Source organism: Homo sapiens, chromosome 4, assembly GCF_000001405.40.
Source record: "Homo sapiens chromosome 4, GRCh38.p14 Primary Assembly".
Taxonomy (NCBI): Eukaryota; Metazoa; Chordata; class Mammalia; order Primates; family Hominidae; genus Homo; species Homo sapiens.
In genome coordinates this window covers 119,510,188-119,534,209 of record NC_000004.12, presented here as the reverse complement: position 1 = coordinate 119,534,209, position 24,022 = coordinate 119,510,188, and the positions used below count along the sequence as shown (strand labels likewise).

At 36.4% G+C, this 24,022-nt stretch overlaps 1 protein-coding gene across 4 annotated transcripts in view, besides 1 other annotated feature; it reads left to right on the top strand.

Annotated features, from left to right (window-relative positions):
• PDE5A (phosphodiesterase 5A) overlaps window positions 1-24,022 on the top strand; it is a 134,402-nt gene that overhangs the window by 94,595 nt on the left and 15,785 nt on the right. For 3 of the 4 annotated variants that reach the window (NM_001083.4, NM_033437.4, NM_033430.3), the window contains exons 12-15: window positions 8,515-8,661; window positions 13,150-13,275; window positions 15,071-15,165; window positions 23,076-23,163. In NM_001083.4, the coding sequence (NP_001074.2) occupies window positions 8,515-8,661; window positions 13,150-13,275; window positions 15,071-15,165; window positions 23,076-23,163 (456 nt within the window). Of the gene's footprint in view, window positions 1-8,514; window positions 8,662-13,149; window positions 13,276-13,867; window positions 13,904-15,070; window positions 15,166-23,075; window positions 23,164-24,022 lie in introns of those variants that run through there. The other variant, XM_017008791.3, reaches the window with a different exon arrangement.
• Window positions 1,487-2,096: an enhancer, noted in NCBI's record as "OCT4-NANOG hESC enhancer chr4:120453269-120453878 (GRCh37/hg19 assembly coordinates)". NCBI's record gives its function as "activates a minimal SCP1, AML or CMV promoter by ChIP-STARR-seq in primed H9 embryonic stem cells {active_cell/tissue: H9 hESC(primed)}" and the evidence as "EXISTENCE:reporter gene assay evidence [ECO:0000049][PMID:30033119]".

Genomic DNA, 24,022 nt, shown 5'->3' with positions numbered 1-24,022 from the left:
AAACAGTCCTAGAAATCCTCTGAAACAATACTTTGGACTTTCTGTACACCATCGATTGAGACATTGATTTTTGTAGATGTATGTAACATTAACTGGGCTACATGTTTTTCACATTGGCAAGACCTACTAGATTTTCTGTTTGATTCTTTCTGCCTTCATGTGACAAGCTAATCTTGTCTGTTTTGATTTGATTTTACTAGTGGGTTACTTCCAGTGATAAGCTTAGCTCCAAAATATGAGGGCACTGTTCTTGAGCTTCTTCTTTACTAACTACTGTGTATAGTTCTAAACACCATAGTTTTAGTGTCATTTTTTTTATTTGGAACTCAATAACCAAGATGGTAATCAGATCTGTGTATATTATTCCCAATTGCAATCATAAATTTACTCTAAAAGTTTTCTTATAAATGTATGCATATTATATCAGAATCTTAACATTATTACATGCTTTCTATATGATTTTGAAAAACTATAAGCACATTATAAAACTTTCTATAGTCGGTGCCTCTTTCTTATTGAGATTTAAAGGGATTCACTTATATAATGTTAGAAAAAAAGGAAAAATCATATAACATGTTGATGCTGTTATTAAAGAAAATATACTAGTCCAGTCCCACTGTGCCTGATTCATTTCTTTACTGTCTGCAAGATTTACTGAATTTCATACTCATTCCCGTTTTAAAAGTAGTTTTCTTTCTTATCTGTCTTTGGATTCACTTCCCTCTTCGAAAAAGATAAATTCTAAAAGCCTTATAAACTAATTGTGTGGTTTCTTCTTTAAAAACACCCCTCTTGGGCATGCGGAAAGTGGAGAAAAGAGATAATGGTCTTCCATAAGGTGTAATGTGGCAGCTGTCAAGGTGGCTTTATTCAAAGACCTGGAATTAAACTGCTCTCCATTAAGAAGTATCCTGTGAGGTAGGAGTGGTGGTCAGAGCCAATAAGAAGGGCTTAAAACACCTGGCAGGAGATGTCTCCTTACAGCCACTGATATAACCCATCAAATATATAATAAAAATAATTTCTTTAAAAATGGATTATTGAGATTGAAACCTTTTTTCCTGTGGACCATTTATATTGAATAAATACCAAGGAGCAATATAACAAAATACCTTTATACAACACTGAGGCTAATTGGAAGAATTTGACATTTTATGAAAGACCAAGTTCCATTACTGCCATTCTTTTCACACTACTTTAATAAATAACTTTCTGAATAAAGAGCCTTTTCTTTTCTTAGCAGTTGGCTATTAGGAATTGTTTCCAGTTTCCGTAATTTTTATTTTGGCTCTTAAGATTTCACGCTTCAGACCTAAGGCAAGCAGAATGCCTTTGATAGCAGTATGACCTTTTTTTTGTACAAAGATTACACAATTGAGCAAATTGCGTAGCCATGTAGCCACATGTCTTTATTTTCTGCTGAAGTTACCAGAGACTTTGCTGTAGCCTAAATATAGACCTTTCTCATGAGGCATCCACTAAAAATTAGAAACGTAATAATTTTTAAATGATCATTATATTTACTTTACCCAAGTATATTATTTTCTACAAACACATGCTTTATGGTCTTCAAGGAGACCATACATTTTATAAATGTATTATTTTCTATAAAGTTTCTTCTCTATTGAATAAACAAAAAGGCACTCTCTATACTTGTGTAAAAGGGACACAAGTATGTCCCTTTTGTTGTGTGAATGGCCATTATAATGATAAAAAGTTGAACAAAAGAAGGGCTGTCATTTGTCTTAAGTGAGGCATTGATAAAGCTCAGGAAAGATTCTCTTTAATGAAAAAAGTAAAATGTGGACTCACATTCTCTATCATTGTGTTGTTAGGGATCACTTGGGCAAGCTACTAACATACTTCCTTCTGTTATTCCACTTAAAAAATATGTATTTCATTTATGTATCTATCTTTCCCTTCAGGCTGTTAGTTCTTGGTGATAATAATAATAGCTGTCATTTAGTGATTGCTTAACATGAACTTGGTTTATGTGTTTTGTCTAATGATTGAATCAATGAATGAATCAATGAATGGATTCTGGAAAACCCAGACTTTTAGAAAGCCTATAATCTAGCATGAAGGAAAAAGAAACACAGATCAAGCTCCTTCAATACATTTAATAAGATTTTGCTTTCTTTTCCCTTAAAATGATGAAGAAACTAGAAATAATTTGAGAGTTGATTAAATATATAAAACAGCCTACAAACTGGTGATAGAGCCAGCCATGTTGAGGGACACTGAGATAACATTTTCATTGTCAGCTTTCATATTTGTGACTGTAGCAAGATGGAGAGCATTGGGTACTAGAGAGAGAGAGATACCTAGGTTCAAATTCCAGGTGTGTGATCTCAGGCAAATATGTGACTTATTTGTGCTTCAGTTTCTTTCTCTGCAAAATTAGGATAATAAAAGAATTTACCTCACAGAATCAGAGCAAATGTGTTCCTGGTACATTTGCTCCATTAAGTATTAGTTATTGCTCATAGTGGCAATAGGTGGGGGAGGGAACATCAATTTTCAATATCTAGTAGCAATACCATTGAAATCTTTATGTTCCTATGATGTTCCAAGCCTTTTTGCACTAGCGATTCCAATAATAAGCACTCAAAAAATTATACACTCATTTTTTTGGCCAGGCGTGGTGGCTCACACCTGTAATCTCAACACTTTGGGAGGCCAAGGTGGACAGATCCTTGAGCTCAGGAGTGTGAGACCAGCCTGGCCAACATGGTGAAACCCTGTCTCTACTGAAAATACAAAAATTAGCTAGCGTGGTGGCATGCATCTGTAGTCGCAGCTACTCAGGATGCTGAGGCAGGAGAATCACTTGAACTTGGGAGGTGGAGGTTGCAGTGAGCCAAGATTGTGCCACTGCACTCCAGTCTGGATGACAGAGTGAGACTCCGTCTCAAGAAAAAAGAAAAAAAAGAAATTATACACTCATGTTTAAATTAGCTTAAGTTGAATTAGGTAGGTGGAAAGCTTACTGGGGGAAAATATGTCATATTTTGTAAGCACAAAAAAAGTGTAAACTTTTTATTCATAATGTATAACCAGTTCTCTACTTATGGGGAACAATCTGGAATTCACCATTTTCAGTAACTTCCTACGAAAGCAGCTAAAAATTGGAAAACTTTTTGGTCACTGCTTTCTCATCCTGGGTTTTCAGTGTTGTTGGAAGTGAGAGAATCAAATCTTAATGATTATTAAGACAAGCTGTAACTGATTTTTAAAAATTACAGCAATGGAGTATTTGTTGTGCAGATGAAAGAAGAAACTCAATTATTAAAATTTTTCAAAAGAAAATAAATTGAATAATTGAACTTTAAGAGAAAAAGGCATGTACCACAACATATTGGTTGTTTCCGCCATAGTATAGTTCATTACTAATATGAATACTGTACTATAGCTCTATGCCAAATTAAATTTATATGAAATAGTTCTGCATAATATGGAGAAACTGATTAGGTACTAGATGATTTAAAAACCCATTTATTTATTCATTCAATATTTAACCCCTATTCTATGCAGGCATTATATTAGGTGCTCCAAATATAACAGTGAATAAAAAGTCATATATAAGATAATTATACAATTTGTATAATTACAATTAGGAAAAAGAGGTGGGACTGTAAAGTATAAAACATTGTGAAATTACATAGAAACATATTCTAGAGTGAATGGTCTAAGATACATGTCATTATCCAGATCTTTTCATATGTCTCAATTTCATTTCTTGGTGCTCCACTCCTTCCTAATCAGTGCTTTAACTTTCACATAGGAGATGTGGCAAGTCTGTGATTTCAACCTACACTGTAATTCACCAACCTGTAGGATAAGACTACACTTGGGTTTTGGCTACATCAGTACTACAAGAAATAGGCTGTTTTAGGAAAGCCATAAAACTTCTCTAGTTTTCAGACCATTATTTGAGCCAAAAATTTAAAGCCCAGAGCCCTTCATTTTCTTTCTTTAATCTCTCTGACACAGCAAGAAGCAGCCAACCCACTTACAGTTTCTGCCCATCACACTGTGATATGGCAGTCACCACTGGGTCCACAAAAAGGCATTTTTTTCTAAACTGTTCACTTAAAATGACTGTTAACTACTATTTACTACCAATAACCTATCCCTAATGCAGTGGTTCTCAAAGTTCAGCATTCATCAGAATCACCTGGAAGGTTTTTGTAACGCAGATTGCTGAGCCCCACTCCCAGGGTTTCTGATTCAGTAGGTCTGTGTTGGGACCCAAGAATTTGCATTTTTAACAAGTTCCCAGATGCTGATGCTGCTGGTCCAGGAACTTAACTTTGAGAACTGCTGCTCTAATGGAAACGGATCCCCTCTGCCTTCAAACTCATCAGGTCAAATATTCAAACTTTTGAGAGTCTGTTGCCTACACATGCTTTCGTTGCAAAATAGAGCATCAACAGGGTTCAACTGCAGGTAGTAGCAACTACTGTAGCTATTTTAAGCAGAAAAGAATTTAACTAAGTACTTTCAAATCATTGGAAAGGGTAGGTAAGTCATCCCAGGAATAAGTCCTAGAACAAAATTGCTGTTCTGGCTCACTATGGAAACTTCTACATACATAGGCCAGAGTCAGAAAGCTGCTAGCAGAACTGCAAGCTGCAGGACTGCAGTATTCCCTCTAGAGTCACGTCCCCCCAAAATAATGAGTTTCCCATGTGTCACTACATTAGTTTGAAATTCAAGTCTCACTCAAGTTTGCCTCATTGCCGAAACCAAATCTATCTGGAATCCAAGTTGCAAGAGAGTCAAGGAAATGTATTTTTGTTAGCTGTCTAGCCTCTTCGGAAGATGAAGACTCACTAGAAAAAGGTTGAAACAGATGTTAATGGAGCCTTGCTATCACAAGGACTAGTGAATGTTTCCCTGATGCAGCTGAGACATAAAAAAAGTTAAAGAATTAGCTACGTGAAAACATGGGAATATGCATTCTAGGCAGAGAAGAAACAAAGAGGCCTGGAAGAGAGCCTTCTTTTTCTCTCTTGTGAGAGAGATTATTAATTAACCTTAAAAACAGATGACAAATACATAGACACTTCCCCCATCCCTGAAAAAAAAAAATGACAATTTCAGAAAAGTCAGTTTTTAAAATTTAGAACATTATTGCAATAAGAAGAGAGGCTACCACATATTGAGTCTAACCCTCCACTACTTTAACCCAGTAGAGGCTAGTGTCCTCCATTTAAGCCAGGAGCTGTGAAATATCCCTCCTCCTACCTGTGAGGAAGCAGGACCAAAGTGATGTGTATGGAATCGAGCATGAAAAATACAACATAATCTTAACTGCCAAGGTGCACCTGTCCATGTACCTTAAATGCTGAGAAAACCAGAGATTGAGTTTAGGCCCTGTACAGGAAAGTCACTGGCAAGATCTAGATGCCACTTACAGTAAGGCATTTGGTTCCAGAGTGAGGAGGCAGTAAGAGGTGCTTGAGCCCTGTGGATACAGAGATAAATGTATTAATATATCAGAGAATGTTAAACCTTAGAGATAGTCTACTCCAACTTCCTTCTTTTACACGTTCAAAAAAGCAGGCAGAGAGATTGAACATCTTGTTCAGGGTGACAAAGTCAGTGGAACATCTGGACTAGCACCCCCAATAGCCGACATTCCTTTTTATCACTTGCTTCACCTTCCTTTTAAGTTTCTGTTTCTGATCATCATCTCATGCTGAAATGTAAATATGGTAGTTGATCTAGCATTTTGTCAGCTGCACATCAGTTTACTATTTAGCTCATCAGTTAGATGGTATTTAGAACAATTAGTTTTAAGGTCACTGCAAAATTAAAATATTTTTATAACTCTCACTACTGCTTTAACTCAAGACATTCCTGCACTCAAAGATTAACTCTCGTTCCACTCTTAGTGACTTTTCATGTCCAGAGTTGAATTTTTTTTAATTTTTAATTTTTGCAAGAATGGTGAAAAGAGGGCCATGGTATTAGAAAAGGATCATAAAAAGACTTATGATATAATTCCTTTAAAGAGTCACTAGAGGCCCACTAGTTTATTAGTTTGAGTGGCAGATACAATTGAAGAACTCAGAAGAATACATATACCATCAAATTGTTTGTCAGATTGAATCTTTAACCCAATGAGCTTTGTTTTTTTATTTTTTTTTTGCATTCCATATTTGGTTAATTTGACATTAAAACCATAGTCCTGTAAGAGCTTAACCATATTTGAATTAAACACTAATATCTAAACTAACTGTTTTGTCCAAGAATTCAGAGACATTGTGCTCTCATATAAATAAGCAATATTGGGTGGTATTAGGTGGTATCACAGTTCCAGTGGTTTTGAATTGGATTACCCAACCATAAAAATACATATACATATTTATATTTATAGTACCTTATTGTTTTACAGACTCTGTAAAATATGTTCTTTCTGTTAGGCTTCAAAACCGTAATGCAATAATAAAATCCCCTGAAGAAAATCAAACTCAGAAATCTAAATTTGCTAATTCTAATGAATAAAAGTCACTAAAACAAGAAACTGTGAAAATCTGGAACTGTATATACATCCTATGCCAGAAATACCACATACTTTATTCCCTGCTTAGTAAATTTATTTCCTGCTATTAGTAAAATGTACAATATTTTATCCTACAATGTGATAAGTAAAAATAATAGGTAATTATGTTTTACTTAAAATCACCTTTATCCCAAGCCTTTCTAAGTTAAACAGAAAGTTGAATTCTCTTGTGATGGTCAAAGAAGCAGAGTACAAGAGCTTGAAAGGATTTCTGACTTCTCATGGCTTGTTAATAATAGATCCCAGAATTCTGAACCTGTATATCACTGACCACAAGGCTCTTATGGAAAATGTTTGCATGTCCCCACTGGGTCAGCTCAGAATGTTTGAGTTGTAGTGTGGTGTGACCAAACAATCAAAAGAAAAGATTCTTTTCTCTTAGTAGAGAGAGAGATTAGGAATTACAGTAGATAATGGAAAGAGGCACAAGCTATGCTGGCTTCCATCCTGTAGCTTTTAGAATGTTCTTTGTGAAAGGAAAGAAAGAAAACTTCCTGCTGTAAGAATAATGATGCCCTAAGGAAAAAACATCTGTTCTCCTGTCCATTGCACTGTATTTTAAGGAAAGCAGCTGTTATCTGCTTTGAGTTAAAAGGTGGGCTTTTCCCCACCTCCACACTTCCCAAACTTGAGTTACCGCTCCATCTCTGATGTTGGAGGCTGGAATAAACAACTAAGCCCTTTATCTAAACATTTTAAATCCTTCTTTCTTCCCCTATTTCGGCCCACACATTAGCCTATGGAATTGACTTAACAGAATGCATATTTTCTGGTCAGTTTTGGTCTTGGGAAAAAATTCTTAGCTTGAATGAAGAGGGTGACATTCATGGAAAGTTTAAACAAGTCTGGTATATGTAAGTGAAATCTGAAGTCCAGAATAAAAAGGAGAATGTGCAAGTGCCTTCAGATTTGTAGGGAAATCTACTTTAGATTGCTCCATAAGATTTTATTATTTTGACCTTTTGACTTCCCAAAAGCAAAGTAGTGCTATCTCAGATACTCATAGGAAACTTAAGGGGTTTGAGAACCTGGCTGAAATTTAATTTTTCTTCCCTCTACTTCAAACCACGTAAAGGCCTCCGTTGGTCCAGTTAATAGCCTGATCTAGCTAAAACAGTTAACAAAGTGCTGACAGGGTAAATGGTCCAAGGTCAGAGGAGTGGAGGTTCCTTTAAATTCCCATCCCACAGGGCCCAGCAAAACATCTAGGAGAGGAGCCTGTGCGCTCTGCTCAGTCTGAGGGAGCCAGGGCTCCTTGGTCCAAATGAATGTTTTTTAATAGGCACCCAGGTGATTCTTATGATCAGGCTTGTGTGAGGCAAGTATGGTGGGAGGCAGGTTCTGCTAGTCTGGGCACAGGATAGTCTTCCTGGACTGGAGGCCTGGCATCCTCATTCCTTAACTAGCTGGGCTGCCACTGGCAAGAAAATTAACCTCTTTGTGCTTAAGTTCCTGTACTTGAAAAATGGAGCTAGAGTGTCCACTTCATAAGGCTGTCCTGAGAACTAACCATAAAATGCTTAGAACATTATCATTACCCTTCTTACCAGATGATTTGCAGCCCAGAGCACTGGGATGGTTCCAGAATATTTACTCAATAAATTATAAATTTCTTTTGAGTGAATAAGACTGGGGAGGTATAAAGGAGCCAGATCACTAGAGGAGTTCTTAGTGTTGCTCACTGTTCCAGGTACAGTCTAAGGGTGACAACTCCCTTTTCTCCACTTAGCCTACTTTGAACCATATTAATTACCCTTATGTGGCTCAGTTTTAAAAATGCAGAGAGTGGAGTTGCCACTGTACAAAAAGGTTTCTAGTGTCTTTCATTAAAAAGGAAAAAAAAGCCACAATATGCTATTTCTCTGCAGCAAAACAAGAAAACCTTGCAAATCACTGCTGCTTTAATTAACAGCATTTTTTTTTTTCTTCTTTCCTTACCCAAGGCTGCTGTGGTGCCATCTGCCCAGACCCTTAAAATTACTGACTTTAGCTTCAGTGACTTTGAGCTGTCTGATCTGGAAACAGCACTGTGTACAATTCGGATGTTTACTGACCTCAACCTTGTGCAGAACTTCCAGATGAAACATGAGGTAGGAATGCAGCAACATCCTTTGGAAAAGTCTATGTGTATGTGTGTGTGTATGTAAGAGAGAGAATTGGTTTTGAATGCAAATATGGAATAGGGATTTTTACATTTTAGTGATTAATATACTGTCACCTAATATATACCCGAGACTTTTAAAGAAAAATTATCATTATCAAAAAGACATTTAATGGGCTCCTAGCATGTATCAAGTATCAGGGTGAAGACTAAGGGAGAGTGTTCCTAAAAATAGGAGCAGGATGTTCAAAGGCATGACAGCAGAGATTGGGGGTGAGGGCCAGGAGTACTGTTGAGGGGTAAGAATGGCAAGAGAAGCAATGGAAGAAGGTGAGAAGCAAATGATACGGAACCTTGTAAGCCGTACAGATGAATTTGGATTTTACCCTGAAAACAATGGTGAGTCACAGGAATTTTATGCAGAGAAGTAGCATGATCTCACTGCAATGGTTATAACAATAGTGTACAGGGAAGGACCGAAGCAGAGTGAACTCCTTTGAAAATGAAGGAGGAAATAAAGGGGCCTGATGGGAGGCCAAGCTTTTAGTTGGAACAGGGTCACCCATATGGGTGAAGATGAAAACTGATTTTAACCTCTGTTGCTTACCTTATTCACTTCTCAGAAAATAGAAAAACTTAAATATCTTCTAATATCAGTTTGGAGATACTAGGGAATTCCGTTGTTTCATAATGGCTATGTATTATAATATATAGCATCAAAGAATAAGAAGCAGCAGAAAGGACTATTTAAAAAAAAGAATTCAGTAATCTTGCCTTTAAAAATTACTTTTTCTGATCAGTTGAATGTCTAGTCTCCTTGTACAGATTTCCTATCTGAAAATTTAAATATCTTGAAGGCCTCCACTATTTAGCATTGTATTAATTCAGGACTCTGCCAGGGGCACATTTCAGCGATGAGTTGTCCCTGCTCTCAAAGGCTTCACAGAAATGAAAACTAAGAGTGAATATAGCTAAGATTAATACATTGTCATTTATGGTATTATTGGAGGCCCAAATCTGGTTCTTCCTGAATTTAACCAAAGTTTATGTTACTCTTTCTTAGGTGAAAATAAAGAACAATTGTCCATAGACTCTTACCTAATAATACTTTACTCTTGTTAGAGTGCGTTGATTAAGGGATATCATGCCATTTAATTATTTCAACAAGTTCTCTAGAAAGGCTGTTACTGGGATTACTGTTATCCCCATTTTACAAATGAAGAAATTGGGACAGCATGGTAGAGTAGAAAGATCATGGATTTTTGAGTCATACCTCTGCTACTGGTTAGCTCTTTTTTCGTTGGGCAATTAATCACTCATATTCTCAGTTTCCTTTTCTGTTATTAGGGGTAATGGTATTATTCTCCCCATGGGAGTCTTACGAGAATTATACGTGCATCTGTGATTATCTATTTGTATGCATGTGTATGTATGTACTTATCTATAATATTCTGTTTAACAAACAGGTGTAGAGTCCATGTCAGTTATCCCATTCTTAGGCCAAGTTTGACTGGTTACATCACTCATCAAATTTCTCAATAGTAGGTCATAAGGCTCTTTTTTTAAAGCCGTATCTATTGATGAGATGAAGATCTCATTTGGAGCCAGAAGTTCTATGTGAATCTCACTTCTGCTTCTTGCTAGTTACAGGACTTTATAAACCTATATAGTATCTCAAATCCTTTTCCATTCCTGAGTACTCCCATTCTTGAAACTAATAATGATTCTGTTGAAAGGACTTGGCTAGAGTAGAGGAATGTGATTCTTGTACTTTTAAATGAAATTCATATAAGTTGATTTATTTCTCTTTGGCCTTTAGATAGCATTTGAGGGTTAGGTAATGAAGATAATCACTCAAAGTTTCTGTAGAAATCTTTATTCTTACCAGTTGTTGGGTTTTTATCCATGAGGAAAATATTTCCTCTTAATGTCTGATTCATCATCCTACCTTTTCTGGTTGAATAACTATTATTCTAATTCTGGCCAACATCAAACTTGAACATTGCCATCATTCTGGCTGGCCTTCCTTCCTTAGTGCCTCTTCTGTTTTGTTTCTTTCAGATATTATTGTCAGTATAATTTTAGGATGATGAAATAAAAATGTTAATGCTAGAGAGGATGTTAACATCATGAAGCTGTTGTGACTAAGAATATTTCATATTGAAAGATCTTCATGTTCTCTGCATGGCTTCTAAATCTTTAGTTATTCTCCTATAATGACTGTAACCATTGCCTCTTGCTGATCTCTGAAACAGATTCTTCATTCTGCTCAAGCCAATCTGCATGTGCTGTGCTTATTTTCACTTTTTATCTTTTACATCTCATTCCTCCCTGAATAATGTCTGTTCCACTCTCTACCACAACAAACATTTCTCTTCTTCAGAGCCTGACTTAAGAATATCTGTTTGTAAGAGAACCCTAGGCTTGACTTCATGCTGCTTCAATTGCTATTTGGCAATGTATAAACTTGCTCTCAATTTTATGTTTATTTACTTATTTCCTTTATATATGCAATTTTGTTATTTTTCACTACTGATTGAGTTTCTTGAAGCAGGAGCTAAGCTGTTTTCTGTTTCTTCTTTTTCTCCGGTGGCATCTTGAGTTCACCACTCAGGAAACCTTCCATAATTGTTAGAGACTGATTCAACGTATTGAACATGCTCTGTAGAGTCATCCAAACTGCAAATAAGTACTCAGTAGTCCTGTACAAAATACTGTCTTACAAATTTTAATGGTGTCCAGCATATCCACTGAGAACTTACCAGATATGACCATAATTTTCTTGTATGCTGTTGAGAACATCCTGGTAACAGAATCTAAAACTGTACTTAAATATAGGTACTAACTACTTTGTCCATTGGGTTATCCAATTCTATTAGGTCCGTCTTAATAAAAGGAAAATAGAGTAGTCCATTAGGAATTATGTTTCATAGAGTCATTTTGGTCATTGTTTCACAATATATGGTATTATATATTTAATTATATCTGTACATTTATGATTAGTAAAAAGATATATCCAAAGTTTAAATTTCTGGGTTTTCCTGTTTTTTTTCTTGCTGCTTTAATTAATCACCAGTAATTTTCTGCAACATATTTTCTAAACATATCAAAGAGAGTTTATAGATCTTACTTAAAAGTCTCTCAGTAAGATTAGTCTCCCAGTAAGATTCATCCATCACCTTCCTGACAGACTCTATTCAGATATGAAAAAATGGTGTAAGAAGCTGCAGTATGCTTGGGGTGAACACATTCAATCTTAGGCACACAGAAATCCTCCGCTTGGAATATGGCAACTCAGTGGGTAAAAAGGTTAGGAGACATTAGTGTTCTTTGTTATCAGAATTTCCTGTAAACTGAGCAATAGAACAGGAATAAAATGACCTGAAAAGGGAGGATATGGAAGCATTGATTTCCCACCAAGTTCTTTATAAGCAGTTTCTACCGACAATGAAGAAACCTTGTTTTTGGCCTACTTCTGTAGCTAATCGTATTGTGTTGAATATTGTCAAAGCAACATTCTTTTCCCTGGTACTTTTTCCATTTCCCAGGGCAATGTTCTTTGTGTTTGAAGCAACTCCAGTGATACATGTAGGGAGAATCACATATTTATTTTACAAATCCCCAAAAGTATAGTAAATCACTCAGATTTGAAGAGAGGCAGATTCTGATGCTAACACAGACCATGTTTAGGGCCCATGAGTCTCTGGGGATTTTATTTAATACACCACTTAGAAGTTGAATTAAACCCAACTCTTGAGACTTGCTGAAGTCTATCCTGCCCCCGGCCATCTTTTAAAGTGTTTTTTATATGGACCCCAGGGCTTTATTTGGCACATTTTTTTTTTAATTACTTCTTTGTAACCAGGCAGTAACTACCTGAATAAGTATAATTTAAAAGGACAAAGAGCTAATGACGGCATTGTCTTGTAGCTCCAATTTGTCCTCGGACATGTGCTATATACCTTGTTACTAGTCCACCCCCAGGGCCTTGCACTAAATACCTTCACGGATATACAACATGAGAGCATGGGAAGAACTTGGGAGTGGCCGCTTTTATGGCTCTCAAATGGTGAATTCATACCTATGTGAACCTTTGGACTCTCCTAGTTGGTGACACATGGAAATGGCACATGGACACATGGACCTTTTATTAAAAAAAAAAAAAACCTACCCAGTGCCCTACCCTGCCAAAAATACCCTTCTTAGGGATGTCTTGTGTTTTATATCAATTTAATTAGCATGGTACTTAACATGGTAGGCTGTGGAGTCAAATTGCTCAAGTTAGAATTTTGGCCCCATCCCTAACTAACAATATGACCTTCAGCAAGTTACCTCTCTGAGTGTCAGTTTTCTTGTCTGTAAGATGATCCAAATCGGAGTATCAGGCTAAATGTGAATGCTTTGTAGTGTCTGGAACATAGTAAATGTGTGAAGATGTTGGCAATTATTGTTACTACTTATGTTTTATTCCCTAAAGGTTCTTTGCAGATGGATTTTAAGTGTTAAGAAGAATTATCGGAAGAATGTTGCCTATCATAATTGGAGACATGCCTTTAATACAGCTCAGTGCATGTTTGCTGCTCTAAAAGCAGGCAAAATTCAGGTACTTTTTAGAGCCATTCATATATCTAATACATTTTGTTGCTTAGTAGTAAAATTTATAGCATATTCTTTCAATTTCACTTTAAGGTGCACAATGATTTAAAATAATATTTGCTGCCACTTACATAATAAGTTATATTTCGTTAATTAAAGAGGACTAATCTGGCAAAACTACTTCGTTGCTAATTTTCTTCCATATATGATATATATGGCATATTAGAAAACCTTCAAAATAACTTCATGTTGCACGTAAATAGTCTTTGGGCAAATAAATATTTCCTTCTGAGGAAAACACTGCCTTATTAAGAAAAAGTAAGAAAAAGTATCACATTTCTCTTGTTCACATTCAACCTGCTCCATAGTAGAATTCCTCAAAAACCACCTAGTTCCTGAACTTGCTTCATTGATAAGTTAGGGGTCTGTATCGCATTTTCTCTGGAGCACTCAGTAAATTTTGTAAGTACTGTTTCATAGAAAGGGTTTTGGTTTCATATACATTGACCAGAGACTGTTTAAAAGGAAGATCAATGCAGAAAACGTTCAAGTAATTCGTTCCTTTCCAGGCCAAATTTTATCCATATCTCTGTCCTTAGATTCTAACTTCAGTGGGAATCGACTAGTTATTCTAGGTAAGTGATTCCAGGCATCCATCATATAACTGTTTTTAATTCAGAGCTTCCCTGCCTTTTTCTTTTTGTAAATAAATTCTTAAAATGTTATTCTCTGTCTCTACTTTCATAGGGTGCACATTTTAACTGGCTAAATCTAAAAGAAGTGATTGTTATTAAAGAAGTGAGGTGCAATTAAATACAATAGTAGTATTTTCCTACCTTAGCAAACACGTGTAGGTTGAGTATCCCTTATCCGAAATGGGACAAGAAGTGTTTTGGACTTCAGATTTTTTTCAGACTTTGGAATATTTGCATTATACTTACTGGTTGAATATACCTAATCTGAAGATCCAAAATATTCCAATGAGTATTTCCTTTGAGACTTATTGGTGCTCCAAGAGCTTCAGATTTGGAAGCATTTTGGATTTCAGATTAGGGATACTCAACCAGTGTAAGAAATCATGTAAACTTATTTTGGGGTAGGGAAGGTCACAAGGATTATCAACACTGAAAACTGTCCTAGTTCTCTGTGAGGAATAACAAAATGATGATTTTTGTGTTTGTTGTAAAACCTATTTAGAGTACTGAGAGTTCTAGGAAAATACAGCTGATGATAATTTTAACTTGTGTTTTTTGCGAATGAAGGGGAACAGTATTAATGATAATACTCATAGCAGATACTAAAAAATAACCTATATTTAGCTTGAGAGTATATTATGTAACTTTTTAAAGCCAAGTTTTCATTTCAAATCATTTTCTTTCTATTGTTTTGCTTGAATTAACATTGTCTGCATTCCTTAAGGACACAGCAACTGATAGCAGAGAGTGAACAGAATCTGCAGGGAATTAAAAGAGGAAAAAAACAATTATTTAAAGTTTATTATGATTATTTCACATAATAATTAAGAATTAGCAATACTTACTATAGGTGGACAGATTATTAATTTATTGAGGCATTTCAGCTTTTCCTGTTGATAAGTGACATTTGTGGTGATCCCATTCTGAATGACAAAGGACAACTAATTCCCTGAAGAATAGGATTCTAGGGTTAGTCCTTTGTGACTATAGAGAAGTATGTATGTAAAGCACTGAGGGGAAAAAAAAGATTACTGAAAAGAGGTAATATAATGTCCTTCACCACATTATATTTGTTCTCTCTTTCCTCCAATGTCTTTGGTCATGCAGAACAAGCTGACTGACCTGGAGATACTTGCATTGCTGATTGCTGCACTAAGCCACGATTTGGATCACCGTGGTGTGAATAACTCTTACATACAGCGGTAAGACTTTCCCAGTAAAGCAAGAAAATGTTTTCTTTTAATTGTAGGGCTGTCTTTTTTTAAGTTAAAGCCACAGCAAAATTTGATGGTCAAGGTCCCATAACATACTCTGGTTATATTTAAAGGAAATGGAAAAAATAATGCAGGTTAAGTATTATGTTTATAATTTTTCAGCCCTGAAGTTCAAAACATATTTATGTTGAGAATCTTATTTCATTAGATAATTACCAGGAGTTTTACTTTAGTTTATATATATCCAGCTTAACAGCTTCCTTAGAAAACTATTAAGACTAGTTTAGAAAAGGTAACATTTTACCCTACAGTAGAAAAGATAATATTTGAAAAGTGCTTAGCTCGGCCCTACATACTTATTAAGTGCTCAGTAGAAGGAGGCTTTTGGTCTTAGTGGAAGCTACATAGCACTCTGTTGGAAAACTGGTCCTCTGTCTAATTTCTCTATACCGTTATGTCCTGATCTGTAAAATGGAGATAATAGTTGTAAAAGATAATGCACATCAATACCAAGCAGAATGCTTGGTACCTATTTAAGTCTTAAATATTAGAAGCAGATGCTAGAGATGTACTGTCATCAGATGTCTGCTCATTGACTGAGTTTGAGAGTGAGACACTATCCGTTAGGACAAGTGTCAGGCTCCTTTAAGAGCCATACTTAAGTGGCATTTGAGATGACAAATGAGAGGATAAAGGTGACATCACTTTTCATCAAATGTTTGAGCCACTGTGATATTTTTATTTTCTTACAGGAATTTAGTTGAAAGGTCTACATTTTAAGTGCAAGATCTCTTACTACTGAGCATTTTTTAAGTACACAAGTGATTCAACTAATGGGCAGATCTCTCAAGGAAATTCCAGATGTCTGATATCTAGAGGGAATTTCAGAAAGCTCTCTAATCACATTCTTCTTATCTAAATAAATGGAAAACTTCATGTAGAAAGAATTGTAGTGATGTAACAACCATGTCCTCTGCTGACCTTTGATGGGAAAAGATAGCAAGCTCTTGCCTGAGTATCAGAGTCTGGCTGTTTCCTCTTGAAAAATCTCATGTTTTGGAGAACTGACTGGGTGACATGTCCTTTGTCCCCTGTGCTTTGTCATGTGATTGCAATCCTGAGCCTCACACAGACACAGAATAATTATGAAAGGGGACACTGATATGAAAAGATGTATAGTACAGAGTCAAGCCACATAGTACGCCTCTCCACAGTCAGCACAACCAAAAGATCAGAATAAGCATGTGCTACACTGAACATAATATTATTAGTATGTGTATTATTAGTGTATGGATTGCTCTAAGATGCTATATTGCCCTGCTTTAGAGTGAAAAAAAAAACACTCAACTATTTTTTCCTTTGTTTATTTAAAAATAATTACCCCAAAAACATCTGGAGAAACGTCATCTTCTCCAAAAAAAAAAAAGAAAGAAAAAGAAAAAGAAAACATCCTGGGAAAAAGTCATTGACTGCAGAATCTTGCTTTCACACACACACCACAAAGCAGACTTCAACTTTAAAAAAAAAAAAAAAGTTAAAGCAGTTTCAAAGATTTTTATTTCTTCCTACATCCCTGTGGTTTCAGTAGAGGAAACCAAGAATTTTCCAGGGATTTTTCTTTTTTTTTCTTTCCTTGTTGGTAAATGAGTGATACTTAAAGTAGAATTTTCTTAGCCAGGAGACCCAGGAAACTATGAGTACCATAAATATTCCCATGTAAAGTACTATCTTCTAAAAAGGTATACTGTGTCCAGCCCTCATCAGATATTCAAACTAATATTTAGAGAAAATCAAAAAATAAAACAATGCACAGAGATGAAAGTAATTTATCAAAAAGAGAAAAATGGTCATGTGGTGGCAAAATTAGAAACTGAGATTTTCCTCATTCATTCTTGAACATCTTTTCAGAAAATTACCCTGAAATTACCTTGGAAGAAGATATTTCTCCAATAGAAAGTTGCCCCTTGAGTCATCATTTGATTATTTGATGCCTTCTTTGATTAGGAAACTACCCTCGTAGAGGAGTTCTACAGGTATGCCAGTGGCATATATGAGAGAAGAGTTCACTGCTCATGCTTACTTCTCCCACTTGGGTGAATCAAGAAGAGAATGAGGGCTGGGCGCGGTGGCTCACGCCTGTAATCCCAGCACTTTGGGAGGCCGAGACAGGTGGATCACGAGGTCAGGAGTTCGAGACCAGGCTGGCCAATATGGTGAAACCCCATCTCTACTAAAAATACAAAAAACATTAGCCGGGTGTGGTGGCGGGTGCCTGTAGTCCCAGCTACTTGGAAGGCTGAGGCAGGAGAATCACTTGAACCCAGGAGGCAGAGGTTGCAGTGAGCTGTGATCTCGCCACTGATGCCAGCCTGGGCAGCAGAGCGAGACTCTATCTCAAAAAAAAAAGAATGATCTCAGATAGATACTGAATTCTTATTTTAAAAATAGGCAGTAATAGGAACAAAATAGCTAAAGTGCAGACAACCACTAGAGAAAACACAATTGTAGCATTTGGGTTATGTAGAGAGATTACCTGCATTAGGTCTGCATTCAGTATAAGAAGACTGTTGTAGATGCATTTATTTGGTTAGATTCAAGTTTGGTGTTGATAAATAATGCAGTGAAATTATGTTATATTCTAGGCAGATAGATAATGAATAATTATTATACTAGGGCTTTTGCCCTTTGCAAGGCAGAAAGAAAGTGATAGAAGTATAAAATGTGATTCTTGCCATTAAGAATTGTCATAGTCTCATGAAGTAATAGTGATCACTACAAGAAAGTATCTAGTCCTGAGTTATTTAGTGCATGGACTGTAAGTGTTCAGCAGAGAAAACTGGTCAAGACAGATGTAGTACATCTCCATTGTTAATGGAGGAAATGAGACTTAAACTTGGTCTTAAAATGTGGGTAGGATTTAGAAAGGAGAAAGGATAAATATATTTCAGGAGCACCATGAGGTAAGCATGTTCTTGGAATAGTGGTGATGGCTAGCTTGACTAGAGTTAGAAGGTTCACACTGATTAGGAATGAAAAAGAAGAGAATGAACAAATGGAAACTTTTTGATGCAGGGTTATAAAATTAACCAGTGCATTATAGATTTGATATGGGTGGGAAAAAGGAGCCACTGCAGTGTGTAATAAATGCACAGTTTTAGGAAGGAAGTCTGAATGTAAGCTACAAGGTGAATGGGTAGAAATTAGAACCACAGAGCTCAACTAGAAAGCTGTTACAGCAAGTCAAGTATAAGCTGAAAAATCACATACTGGCTAGAGAGAGGAAGAGACTGAAGGAGAAAAAAATTTTTTAATTTAATAATGAGCAGCTAGTTATATATAAGCATGAAGGAAGGAGATATGACTTCTGGTCCAAGAAACTGGAACAGTGATGGTGCCATTGATGAAAATGAAAGAGCTGGGAAATATGTATATGTGTGCACTGAGAGAGAGGGTTGGCAAGAATGGAAGTTATGGGAGTTTTGGCAATAAGTCCAGTAGAAGATAATAAATAGGGTGGTAGTTAGAAGTGGTAAAATGATCGAACGAATGTGTTTTTTTCAAGGTTAGAGATGCAATACAATCAGGGGGAGAAAAATCTCCTGGTAGCCACAGTCACACTGTATATTTGTCCTGGGAGAACTTGTTCTATCCCATGACTGTCTTCTCTGCTCTAATAGAGGACAGAAGTGAGCTGAAGTCATGGTCTGGCACAGTGGGAATAGAGGGTCAGCAGGATGTGAGAGACTTAAAAGGGCACTACACACAGCACAAAATCATGTGTGAAGTTCAAACTGGGTAAAGTCCATTTTACCCATGAATGAGATGATCTCTGGTCAGGTTGGAGATCTTGAGAGCCTGGAGATCTGACTATGAATAAAGTGAAAGTTCAATTCAATTAGTCCTATGTCAGTAGTAAATACTAATAATAGAAGCTAAAACTTTATATAGGCCTTATGCCATTTGAAACGTTTTTGCACTTTTTATATATTAGTTCATTTAGTCCTTATACCACCATGCAGTGGCTGTGATGGTTATGGTAGTTAAGAGCCAACTTGAGCCAGATGCCTAGCTTCAAATCTTGGCTTCTCTCTCCTCTTACTCTGTGACCTTGTGCAAGTCATTAAACTTCTCTATGTCCCTGTTTCCTTCTTTGTATAATGGAATAATGAAAATACCTATCTTCTGGGATTTTCATAAGGATTAAAGGGGTATAAATAGATGTAAAGTGCTTAGAACATTTCCTGGCACATGTTAAATGCTCTACAGGTTTTAGCTATTTTCACAGGGGAATGTTCTTAGCAACAGATAGGAGTTCAAGATCTTGCTTTGTCCTGTGGTGAATAAAGGGAGTGGCAAAAATACTGTGCCCAGTAGAACCTAGTAGCTGTGGAACAAAGAAGCGGAGCCCTGTCCATCATTATGTGCAAAGAGATAATCAGTAGTGTCAAGGAGGTCAGAGAATTCTGAGGTCAAAAGGTGAAATGAATCATCATTATGAATATTTATGTCATTGAATATGATTATAGACAATGAGAAGGCAAAAAAAAAAAAAGGTTGATTGGGAGAAGAAAGCAATAGTGATGATTTGAAGAGAAATGATGAAGTAAAGAACTAAATGGGATTGAAGGTTACAAAGAGGTTGTTAGAGAATTGAGCCCAGAGTAATATATATGGCTAAGAAGCAGAACCAAGGATGTTGTTTGTTCTTGGTGACATAGGAAGACTGGGGTGGCAATATAGTTTCCCACCCCCATGGGGCTTTCATTTTCTATAGATTTCTAAGGCTTTCTATTTTTAAAATATTGGTCTGATTTCTGCATTGGACATCCTAATACTACTGTCAGAGATGGACCAACAACTGTGCAGAACAGAGGAAAATGCAAAGTGAGTATGCTGGTCCATTAGTGCTCACTGACAGCAGTGTGAGAACAAAATTCTGTAGCAGTAGTGGTTTAAATGGGTCCTTCTGATGCAACCTTAAATAAAGAAGCCACATAGCCTTGTGTTTGAAAGAGGAAAATACAACAGATAGAGAATACACTGGTTTCCATGAATGTTTTTATATACAGGAAATTCGAGTCATTTGTCACTCTGTTATGGATTCATAAATCTGTATTTTTAGAATGTAAGTAAAGGCAAACACAGTTTGCATTCATCTATCTCAAGCCAAGAATTTTCTCTAATGTGAAACAGTCCCTTCTGCGTCGTCTAAAAATGTAATGTGTGTTTGAAGTTCTAACTTGTTTGTGTTAAATAACCACCTAATTGCATTTCGTAGTCCAGCCCCTAAGTGGGTCAATGAGTGGATACTGTGTGCCTTTAAAGTACTTTGGTATCCTAAGACAGTGTGATGGGTTGAAGAGGATATACTTGAATGCCAGCTCTACCATTTATATCAACCTTGAGCACATTATTTTTCACTGAGCCTTTGATTGTCTAGAAAGCAAAAAGATGGCAACTTTAGAGAGGTCTCAGCTGAGGTTACCCTGGAGACACAACCTGAGATGAAAGTCAGTGTGCATATAGGCTATTTGTGAATATGACCCCAGGGAGCAGGAATGCAGAACTGGGAAGGAAGCAGGGAAGAAAGGAAAGGCAGTAGAGGGATGAGCTATCCAGATGTCCACCCATACTGGTGCTTAGTCTTCCCAGGCACTTTTGAGGAGTCTTATGAAATAAGACCCAGAACTGTTGACTGGCAAGACAAAGGCAGTTGTCCCTAGGTCTTTGTACCCCCCTGGTCCAAGGTGGTCCACAGGCCTTCACTCTTTGACACTTTCAGGATGAACAAGTATGAGTGCAGAGAACATTCCTCTGGGCACCAGTTGTGGGGTCAGAAAGCTCTAAGGCAGAAGTGAGAGGTATTAAAGATAGGCTGGGACAAAACACCTTCTAATTGGTACTTGCATGAAGTCTGTTAAAGCGTGCATGAAACTGGACACTACATCAGTGGATGAGTAAGAGGTGGGATTGAGGGTTTTGATGTCGTAAATGGGCATGCCCTGCACAAGGTTATTGTAAAAATTAAATATAATAAACTAAAAAAAATTAAAGCAAACTACCTGACATGTTGTAGGCTCTCATTATAGGCCATCTCCCTGGATGATCTCACCTACTCGCATGCCAGGATTACCATCTGCATTGTTGGTGCATTCCAAATCTATATCTCCAGCCCAGAACTGAGTTGACATTTATATCCATTTGGATATATTTCAGGCACCTTAAAATGAACAGATCCAACATTCAGCTAGTCAGGTTCCCCTGCTTCATCCCCCATCTTTAATCATCTTCTCCCTTTTCCTGTGTCAGTAAATGAGGTCAGCATCCCAAGGCAGAAAGTTTAACATTCATACTTTTTCCCTTTATCTCCCTCATCCCCTTATCTCCCTCATCCCACTCCTAGTCAGGAGTCATTACCAGTTCCTATCTGATCTACTCTTAAACAGCTCTCAGATGTCTGCTTCTCTTCCTTTGGGCTGCTACCACTCTAATCCAGGCTCTCTCTGACTTAGATTACTAGAAGTTTCCCAGTAGTCTCCTAACTAACTCCCATAGTCTCGATACATACGCAATCCTGTTTCCAGTAAGTTCATCCTTTTTCAGAAATATAGTCCTGTTACTCTGTTCATTGTCATCCCATTTTCTGATGCTGAGCACAGTACCTGATCCATAGTCCAACTCACTAAATATGGAAGGAGCAAAGAAGACAAGAAGGGCAAGAATTAATTTGGGAAAGGTTAGGACAACAGTAAATATAAACAACACTTTAAACAATAAGAATAGATGAGATTATCTGTCCTATTACCTTTATTTTCACTTTACTATTTTCTTTTTCCCTCAGATTTCTCTCACTTTACCCATTTTTTCCCCCACATTACATTTCTTCAGTCTTAGGTAGCTTCTCTATCTTCAACAAATTAAATGCAAAGTAAAATAATCGTTCAGATAGTAATAGGAAGAAATAACAAATCAGTTGTATTATCCAACACTTGTATATGGAGCTTTACAATTCACAAACCCCTTTCCTATAAATTTTATGAACAGAGGCTTTCAGAAACTTCATCTTTTTCTTATGAAGAAATAGTGAAAACTATGCTTAATATTCACGTGTGAAGGGTCATGAGAAACATGAGGTGGAGGATTGTGCTTGTCGTGCTTTAAAGCTTTATTTGTGACTGTCTCAGAGATATAATGAACTGAGTATAATATCCTTTCCTTTCTCTTCACTCAGCCAAAGGGTCTCTACTGCTTCACCAAGTTCAATTAGCAGAACTAGCAGGATATTCTGCACTAAAATGACCTGGATCCTACATGGGGAACTTTCCAACTCAGCCGTCTCCTTCCTTCCTTCCTTCCAAGGGAGCATGTACACTGACTATCCCTCTTTTTCTTGCCTTTCATCAATCATACCTCAGTTAATTCCATCTCAGTCAGTCCTTTTCTTATTTGCAGGCACACATGAATAAGCTGACCTTCAGCCTGAGCATTATTTCAGAGGAAAAGCTAACATGAATTTGTTTCAGATTTTATATCAATTGCAGTTTTGAAATTGAAAAATATAATTGGTACAACTATTTCAGAGGGTTTTTTTCCATGTTTGGAGGTATTAATTTTTTTGTCTTTACTCCTTACTTCTATTTTAATCAGTATTAAAACCAATGAAATTGTTCATACTTTACTCTGGCAATGGTCACATTGGTATTTGAAAACAATTTGACTCTTTGTATTTGTTTCCCAGAGATTATCTCACACTTTTCTCAGTAAAAGGAGAGAAAATTGTTAGTTGATTAATTTTGTGAAGTAGCCTCTTTTGTAGTTAAACAGTAATAAAAATGTACTGATAAATGGCATATTAAGGAAACTGATCTTTTTTCCTTTCTTCAACAAAATACTTTCAGAAGTGAACATCCACTTGCCCAGCTTTACTGCCATTCAATCATGGAACACCATCATTTTGACCAGTGCCTGATGATTCTTAATAGTCCAGTAAGTACCTAATTTATTGTTGTGGAATTTTAAAAGAGAGCTTTATAAATTCAGTTTTATTTTTAGTTCTTGGATTTATTCCCAGCATCATAAATTCTTGCACATACTTTATTCCTTTTTGGGTAAGGAAGGCGAAGCCAAAACATTTGAGATCCTCACAGCCTCACTTCTCTAGACAACCAGAACTGTCTACATGTTGCCCAATAAGGGAAATTTGGTTATTCTACTCTACGTGGCTATTCCAAATTAGAAACAAACAAAATGTGTATTTTGTGGCTCTCAGTTAATTCTGCTTTTTTTGTTTAATCGAATGAAGTGGTTTCTATAGCTCAAGCATTTGCTTTCACAAAGCAATACCCTTTCTTCTTTTTATTGAAACTTCCAGTCACTAAGAGAGGATTTTATTAAAGAATAAAGCTATTTAACTACTTGGTGAAATGAATATTTATCAACATAAGAAAGCATATGCTATGCTATGCTAAACATACTTATGTTAAGGAAAACAAGATTAACATAATATGCACCAGGATATTAACAATGGCTGTGCTGGTGTAATGAAATTGTTAATCTTTGTTTGGGGGGGATGGTTGTTCATTATTTACATTGTCGGCTGTGTGTATGTATTACCTTAATAATAAGAAAAAATGAAAGTTTTAACTATTACATTGAACATACACAATGCATGACATATAATCTTAAAGCAATTTTACAATATTGCTAAGTTTACTCAGTTGGGCTAATTCTTTCCTGAGCCCTGGAAAAAAATTCAGGGATTCCCATCACTTTTCTGGTCACTATTTTATAAGTAAAAGCCCTCTAGTTACTTTAGGTTCCAACATATAGTATAGAGTTCTCAACT